This window comes from Homo sapiens, chromosome X (genome assembly GCF_000001405.40).
Source record: "Homo sapiens chromosome X, GRCh38.p14 Primary Assembly".
Classification (NCBI taxonomy): Eukaryota; Metazoa; Chordata; class Mammalia; order Primates; family Hominidae; genus Homo; species Homo sapiens.
Window position 1 is genome coordinate 24,046,958 of NC_000023.11, and position 7,613 is coordinate 24,054,570.

The window sequence follows — 7,613 nt, forward strand, 5'->3', positions numbered from 1 at the left end:
GCGATCTCGGCTCACTCCAAGCTCCGCCGCCCAGGTTCACGCCATTCTCCTGCCTCAGCCTCCTGAGTAGCTGGGACTACAGGCACCCGCCATCACGCTCGGCTAATTTTTGGTATTTTTTAGTAGCGACGGGGTTTCACCGTGTTAGCCACGACGGTCTCGATCTCCTGACCTCGTGATCCGCCCGCCTCCGCCTCCCAAAGTGCTGGGATTACAGGCGTGAACCACCACGCCTGCCCATCGGGGTTTTCTTGGATCTGCTTCTTTAAAAAAAATACAGCGAACTTTGGATGCTTTTTTTTTTCTTTGAGTTTCGCTCTTGTTGCCCAGGCTAGAGTGCAATGGCGGGATCTTTGCTCATGGCAACCTCCGCCTCCCGGGTTCAAGTGATTCTCCTGCCTCAGCTTCCCAAGTAGCTGGGATTACAGGCATGTGCCACCACACCTGGCTAATTTTGTATTTTTAGTAGAGAGGGGATTTCTCCATGTCGGTCAGGCTGGCCTGGAACTCCCAACCTCAGGTGATCCGCCCGCCTGGGCCTCCCAAAGTGTTGGGATTACAGGCCTGAGCCACCCCACTGGTTTTTTTTTTTTTTTTGAGACGGAGTCTCGCTCTGTTGCCCAGGCTGGAGTGCAACAGCTCGATCTCGGCTCACTGCAACCTCAGCCTCCTGGGTTCAAGCAATTCTCCTGCCTCAACCTCCCGAGTAGCTGGGATTACAGGCGGGCGCCTCACGCCCGGATAATTTCTTTAGTGTTTTAGTAGAAAAGGGGTCTCAACATGTTGGTCAGGCTGGTCTCAAACTCTTGACCTCAGATGATCCACCCTCCTCAGCCTCCCAAAGTGCTGGGATTACATGAGTGAGCCACCGCGCCCAGCCTAAAATTGGTGAATTTTGTAATATGTAAATTTAATCTCAAAAAGCTTTATTTTTTATTTATTTATTTATTTATTTTTGAGATGGAGTCTCGCTCTGCTGCCCAGGCTGGAGTGTAGTTGTGCGATCTCGGCTCACTGCAAGCTCCACCTCCCAGGTTCACGCCATTCTCCTGCCTCAGCCTCCCGAGTAGCTGGGACTACAGGCGTGTGTCACCACGCCTGGCTAATTTTTTGTATTTTTAGTAGAGATGGGGTTTCATTGCGTTAGCCAGGATGGTCTCGATCTCCTGACCTCGTGATCCACCCGCCTTGGCCTCCCAAAGTGCTGGGATTACAGGCGTGAGCCACCGTGCCCGGCTATTTTTTTTTTAAGAGTATACTCATACTTGATTATGAATCCCAGGTCTGCTGCTTACTAGCTGTAGAATCTTGGGCATGTTATTCAATCTTTCTTTTATTTTTATTTTTTTCCTTTGAGACAGAGTCTCACTTTGTCACCCAGGTCAGAGTGCAGTGGTGGGATCCTGGCTCACTGCAACCTCTGCCTGCTTCCTGGGTTCAAGCGATTCTCCGCCTCAGCCTCCTGAGTAGCTGGGATTACGGGCACCTACCACCATGCCTGGCTAATTTTTTTTTTTTTTTTGGTATTTTTTAGTAGAAACGGGGTTTCACCATCTTGGCCAGGCTGTTATCGAACTCCTGATCTCAGGTGATCCGCCCTCCTCGGCCTCCCAAAGTGCTGGGAATACAGGCATGAGCCACTGTGCCTAGCCGTTATTCAATCTTTCTAGGACTGTTTTCTCACCTGTAAAATGGGAATAACAGTATCTACCTCAATGGATTTTGTGAGAATTAATGTTAATACTTGCTCGGCTGGCGCCAGTAATTGTTAACTATATTATTTTTATTAATGTTTTATTTCCTGTGACGTTTCTACTTCCAATAAATGTTTCTGATCTTGAATTCCTAGGCTCAATGGATCCTCCCGCCTCGGCCTCCCAAAGTGCTGGGATGACAGGCGTGAACCACCGCGCCCGCCCATCGGGGTTTTCTTGGATCTGCTTCTTTAAAAAAAATACAGCGAACTTTGGATGCTTTTTTTTTCTTTGAGTTTCGCTCTTGTTGCCCAGGCTAGAGTGCAATGGCGGGATCTTTGCTCATGGCAACCTCCGCCTCCCGGGTTCAAGTGATTCTCCTGCCTCAGCTTCCCAAGTAGCTGGGATTACAGGCATGTGCCACCACACCTGGCTAATTTTGTATTTTTAGTAGAGAGGGGATTTCTCCATGTCGGTCAGGCTGGCCTGGAACTCCCAACCTCAGGTGATCCGCCCGCCTGGGCCTCCCAAAGTGTTGGGATTACAGGCCTGAGCCACCACGCCCGGCCTTTAATTAACAATGGATTTTATGATTTATTATTCATTTTTATTTTTGAGACAGGGTCTCCTCTGTTGCCCAGGCTGGAGTGCAGTGGCTCAATCACAGCTTACTGCAGCCTCAACCACCTGGGCTCAAGCGATCCTTCCACCTCAGTCTCCCTAGTAGCTGGGACTACAGGTGTTAGCCACTGGGTTCAGCTAATTTTTGTAGAGATGGGGGTCTTCCTATGTTGAGCAGGCTGGTCTGGAACTCCTGGGCTCAAGAGATCCTCCAGCTTTGGTTTCCCAAATTGCTAGTGAGAGGTGACAGCGTGCTGGCAGTCCTCACAGCCCTCGCTTGCTCTCGGTGCCTCCTCTGCCTGGGCTCCCACTTTGGCGGCACTTGAGGAGCCCTTCAGCCCACCACTGCACTGTGGGAGCCCCTTTCTGGGCTGGCCAAGGCTGGAGCCCACTCCCTCAGCTTGCAAGGAGGTGTGGAGGGAGAGGCCCGAGCGGGAACCGGGGCTGCATGCGGCGCTTGCGGGCCAGCTGGAGTTCCGGGTGGGCGTGGGCTTGGCGGGCCCTGCACTCGGAGCAGTCAGCCAGCCCTGCTGGCCCCGGGCAATGAGGGACTTAGCACCCGGGCCAGCAGCTGCGGAGGGTGTACTGGGTCCCCCAGCAGTGCCAGCCCGCCGGCGCTGCTCTCGATTTCTCACGGAGCCTTAGCTGCCTTCCCGCAGGACAGGGCTCGGGACCTGCAGCCCGCCATGCCTGAGCCTCCCACCCACTCCATGGGCTCCTGTGCGGCCCCAGCCTCCCCGAGGAGCACCACCCCCTGCTCCACAGCGCCCAGTCCCATCGACCACCCAAGGGCTGAGGAATGCGAGCGCACGGCGCAGGACTGGCAGGCAGCTCCACCTGCAGCCCCGGTGCCGGATCCACTGGGTGGAGCCAGCTGGGCTCCTGAGTCTGGTGGGGACGTGGAGAGTCTTTATGTCTAGCTCAGGGATTGTAAATACACCAATCAGCACCCTGTGTTTACCTCAAGGTTTGTGAGTGCACCAATCAACACTCTGTATCTAGCTGCTCTGGTGGGGCCTTGGAGAACCTTTATGTCTAGCTCAGGGATTGTAAATACACCAATCAGCACCCTGTGTTTAGCTCAAGGTTTGTGAGTGCACCAGTCGACACTCTGTATCTAGCTGCTCTGGTGGGGCCTTGGAGAACCTTTATGTCTAGCTCAGGGATTGTAAATACACCAATCGGCACTCTGTATCTAGCTCAAGGTTTGTAAACATACCAATCAGCACCCTCTCTTTAGCTCAAGGTTTGTGAGTGCACCAATCGACACTCTGTATCTAGCTGCTCTGGTGGGGCCTTGGAGAACCTGTGTGTCAAAATTCTGTATCTAACTAATCTGATGGGGACATGGAGAACCTTTGTATCTAGCTCAGGGATTGTAAATGCACTCGGCTCTACCAATCAGCAGGATGTGGGTGGGGCCAGATAAGAGAATAAAAGCAGGCTGCCCGAGCCAGCATTGGCAACCTGCTTGGGTCTGCTTCCACACTGTGGAAGCTTTGTTCTTTCACTCTTTGCAATAAATGTTGCTACTGCTCACTCTGGGTCCACGCTGCTTTTATGAGCTGTAACACTCACCGCGAAGATCTGCAGCTTCACTCCTGAAGCCAGCGAGACCATGAGCCCACCGGGAGGAACGAACAACTCCAGACGTGCTGCCTTAAGAGCTGTAACACTCACCGCGAGGGTCTGCAGCTTCACTCCTGAGCCAGCGAGACCACGAACCCACCAGAAGGAAGAAACTCCAGACACATCCGAAACATCAGAAGGAACAAACTCCAGATGCGCCACCTTAAGAGCTGTAGCACTCACCGCGAGGGTCCACGGCCTCATTCTTGAAGTCAGTGAGACCAAGAACCCACCAATTCCGGACACACTAGGATTATAGGCACGAGGCCACCATGCCTGGCCTGTATTTTTTTTTTTTCCTCTGAGACAGGGTCTCACTCTGTCAGCCAGGCTGGAGTGCAGTGGCGCTATCTCGCTGGAGTTGTTTTTTTTTGTTTGTTTTTGTTTTTGAGACGGAGTCTCGCACTGTATCCCGGGCTGGAGTGCCATGGCACGATCTGGGTTTACTGCATCCTCCACCTTCCGGGTTCATGAGATTCTCCTGCCTCAACCTCCCGAGAAGCTGGGATTACTGGCGCACAGTACCACGCCCGGGAAATTTTTTTGTATTTTTAGTAGACAGGTTTCACTATGTTGGCCAGGCGGGTCTCAAACTCCTAACCTCATGATCCACCTGCCTTGGCTTCCCAGAGTGCTGGGATTACAGGCGTGAGCCACCAAGCCCGGCCGGATTTTTTTATTTAGATAAAGTTCACATGTCCTAAGATTCACCACATTAAACTGTACAATTCACTGGTTTTTAGCATATTTACAAAGATGTGCAATCATCACCACTGTATAATACCCCGGCATTTTAATCACCTCAGTGTGTTTTTGTAATTGGCTGGTATAAATATTTAGAATCTAAGATTAAGGCGGGGCGTGGTGGCTCAGGCCTGTAATCCCAGCACTTTGGAAGGCAGATCACTTTGAAGTCAGGAGTTTGAGACCAACCTGGCCAACAAGGTGAAACCTTGTCTCTAGTAAAAATACCAAAAAATTAGCTGGGCGTGGTGGCGTACACCTGTAATCCCAGTTACTTGGCAGGCTGAAGCACGGGAATTGCTTGAATCCAGGAGGCAGAGGTTGCAGTGAGCTGAGATTGTACCACTGCACTCCAGCCTGAGCGAGAGAGCACGACTCTGTCTCAAAAAAAAGAAAAAAAAAAAAGAATGTAAGATTAAAGTGATTACCTCCAGTTTTCACCATCACTTAACTAATGCATGCATTTATTGAAACATAACTTCCTATTTTAGCTAAATTGTTGTACCAAAAATTTATGTGATATAAAACACGTATTCATATAAATTTTACTTAAGTATTCAATGAACACACAGATAACCTAAATTCTATTTTTTTTTTTTTGAGACAGTCTGGCTCTGTTGTCCAGGCTAGAGTGCAATGTCTCAATCTCAGCTCACTGCAACCTCCCCCTCCCAGTTTCAAGCAATTCTGCCTCAGCCTCCCGAGTAGCTGGGATTACAGGTAGTGCCACCACGCCCAGGTAATTTTTCTATTTTTTAGGAGGGTTTTTGCCAGCTCAGGATTTTGGTCAGGCTGGTCTCGAACTCCTGATCTCAAGTGATCAGCCCACCTTGGCCTCCCAAAGTGCTGGGATTACAGACGTGAGCCACCGCACCCGGCCCAGAAAACCTAAATTCTTATTCACCTCTCCTTACATTTTTTTTCTGGTTTAAAATAGCTGTTTATAAAAAACAACTCCATTAAAAAGTGGGGAAAGGACATGAACAGACACTTCTCAAAAGAAGGCATACATGCGGCCAACAAACACGGAAAAAAGCTCAATATCACTGATAATTCGAGAAATGCAAATCAAAACCACATGAGATACCACCTCACACTAGTCAGAATGGTGATTGTTAAAAAGTCAAAAAACAAAAGATGCTGGCGAGGTTGTGGAGAAAAAGGAACGCTCTTACACTATTTGTGGGGGTGTAAATTAGTTCAACCATTGTGGAAGACAGAGTGGCAATTCCTCAAAGCCCTAGAGGCCGAAATACCATTAGACCAAGCAATCTCATTACTGGGTATATAGCCTCTAAAATATAAACCATTCTGTTATAAAGATACATGCACACATATGCTCACTGCAGCACTATTCACAATAGCAAAGACGTGGAATCAACCCAAATGCTCATCAATGATAGACTGGATAAACAAAATGTGGTACATACACACCATGGAATACCATGCAGCCATAAAAAGGAACAACATCATATCCTTTGCAGGGACATGGATGGAGCCGAAAGCCATTATTCTCAGCAAAGTAACGCAGGAGCAGAAAACCAAATACCGCATGTTACCACTTATAAGTGGGAGCTGAGTGGTGAGAACACATGGACACATGCGGGGGAACAACACACACTGGGGGCTGTCTGACGGCTGGGGGTGGGAGGAGAGAGAGCATCAGGAAGAACAGCTAATGGATGCTGGGCTTAATACCTAGGTGATGGGATGATCTGCGCAGCAAACCACCATGGCACACAGTTTACCTATGTAACAAACCTGCATATCCTGCGCATGCACCCCTGAACTTAAAAGTCGGGGGGAAAAAAAAGAGAGGTAGCAATTATCACCTTAATGAATTCCTTTCTTCACTTCTCATATTGCCCCTCATTTTCCCTAATTTCCCTCATTTTTTTCATTTATAATATATATATATTTTGAGACGGAGTCTCGCTCTGTCACCCAGGCTGGAGTGCGGTTGGCGCGATCTCAGCTCACGGCAAGCTCCGCCTTCCGGGTTCACGCCATTCTCCTGCCTCAGCCTCCGGAGTAGCTGGGACTACAGGCGCCCGCCACCACGGGCGGCTAATTTTTTTTTTTTTTTGTATTTTTAGTAGAGACGGAGTTTCACCATATTGGCCAGGCTGGTCTCGAATTCCTGACCTCGTGATCCACCCGCCTCAGCCTCCCAAAGTGCTGGGATTACAGGCGTGAGCCACCGCGCCCGGCCTCATAATATTTATTTCCTAAATAAGCTAACTTGATGACTACTTACAAGTATTCTAAAGTGAGCTTGGCTTCTCAGTATTCGTCATTGTGGCTTTCATATTATCTTTTCACTTCTCTTTACTATACTTTTGCATAATAGCTGTCTAACAAGTTTTTATGGAAATAAATTTATTGCAAACAAAAAAGGAAATAGCTGTTTATGATAAAATTTGTATAGAAATGCAAGGAGAAAAACAAATCACTCAACTGCTTTTCAACACGACGAAAAGTGGGTTAAGGTCTCAAAATTCTTTAAATTTTAAAATACCGATTTATCGGTAATCGAGGTTTTTTTGGATCTGCTTCTTTAAGAAAAAAAAAAACAAAACACACACACACAAACCAGCGAACTTCAGACGCTCTTACGACACCTAGCTATATTCACTGGGAACGCAATCTAACGTCACCAAGGCCCACCTCCCGGGCCCTAGAAATCGCTCTCTGGGAACAAGCTGGGGACTTTGATTTTGCTAGCCCTGCCCCTCTGAGCCCTTCACCAAACTTCCGCGCGGGGGCGCCCGCCCCACCTCCCGCCGGGGCTCAGCACGCGGCCTTCTCCCAGCCAAGAGCCCCGTCATAGGTGGGCGCCGACCCCGAGCCGATCTCGCTTTATTAAATTACAGAAATCGGTATTCAAAAAAAAAAAAAAAAAAGGGCGGGGAGGACACTCCCTCT

The 7,613-nt window shown here is 49.1% G+C and overlaps 1 annotated feature.

The window, feature by feature from the left end:
- Positions 7,348-7,557: a silencer, noted in NCBI's record as "silent region_20713". NCBI's record gives its function as "represses an Ori minimal core promoter by ATAC-STARR-seq in GM12878 lymphoblastoid cells {active_cell/tissue: GM12878}" and the evidence as "EXISTENCE:reporter gene assay evidence [ECO:0000049][PMID:35858748]".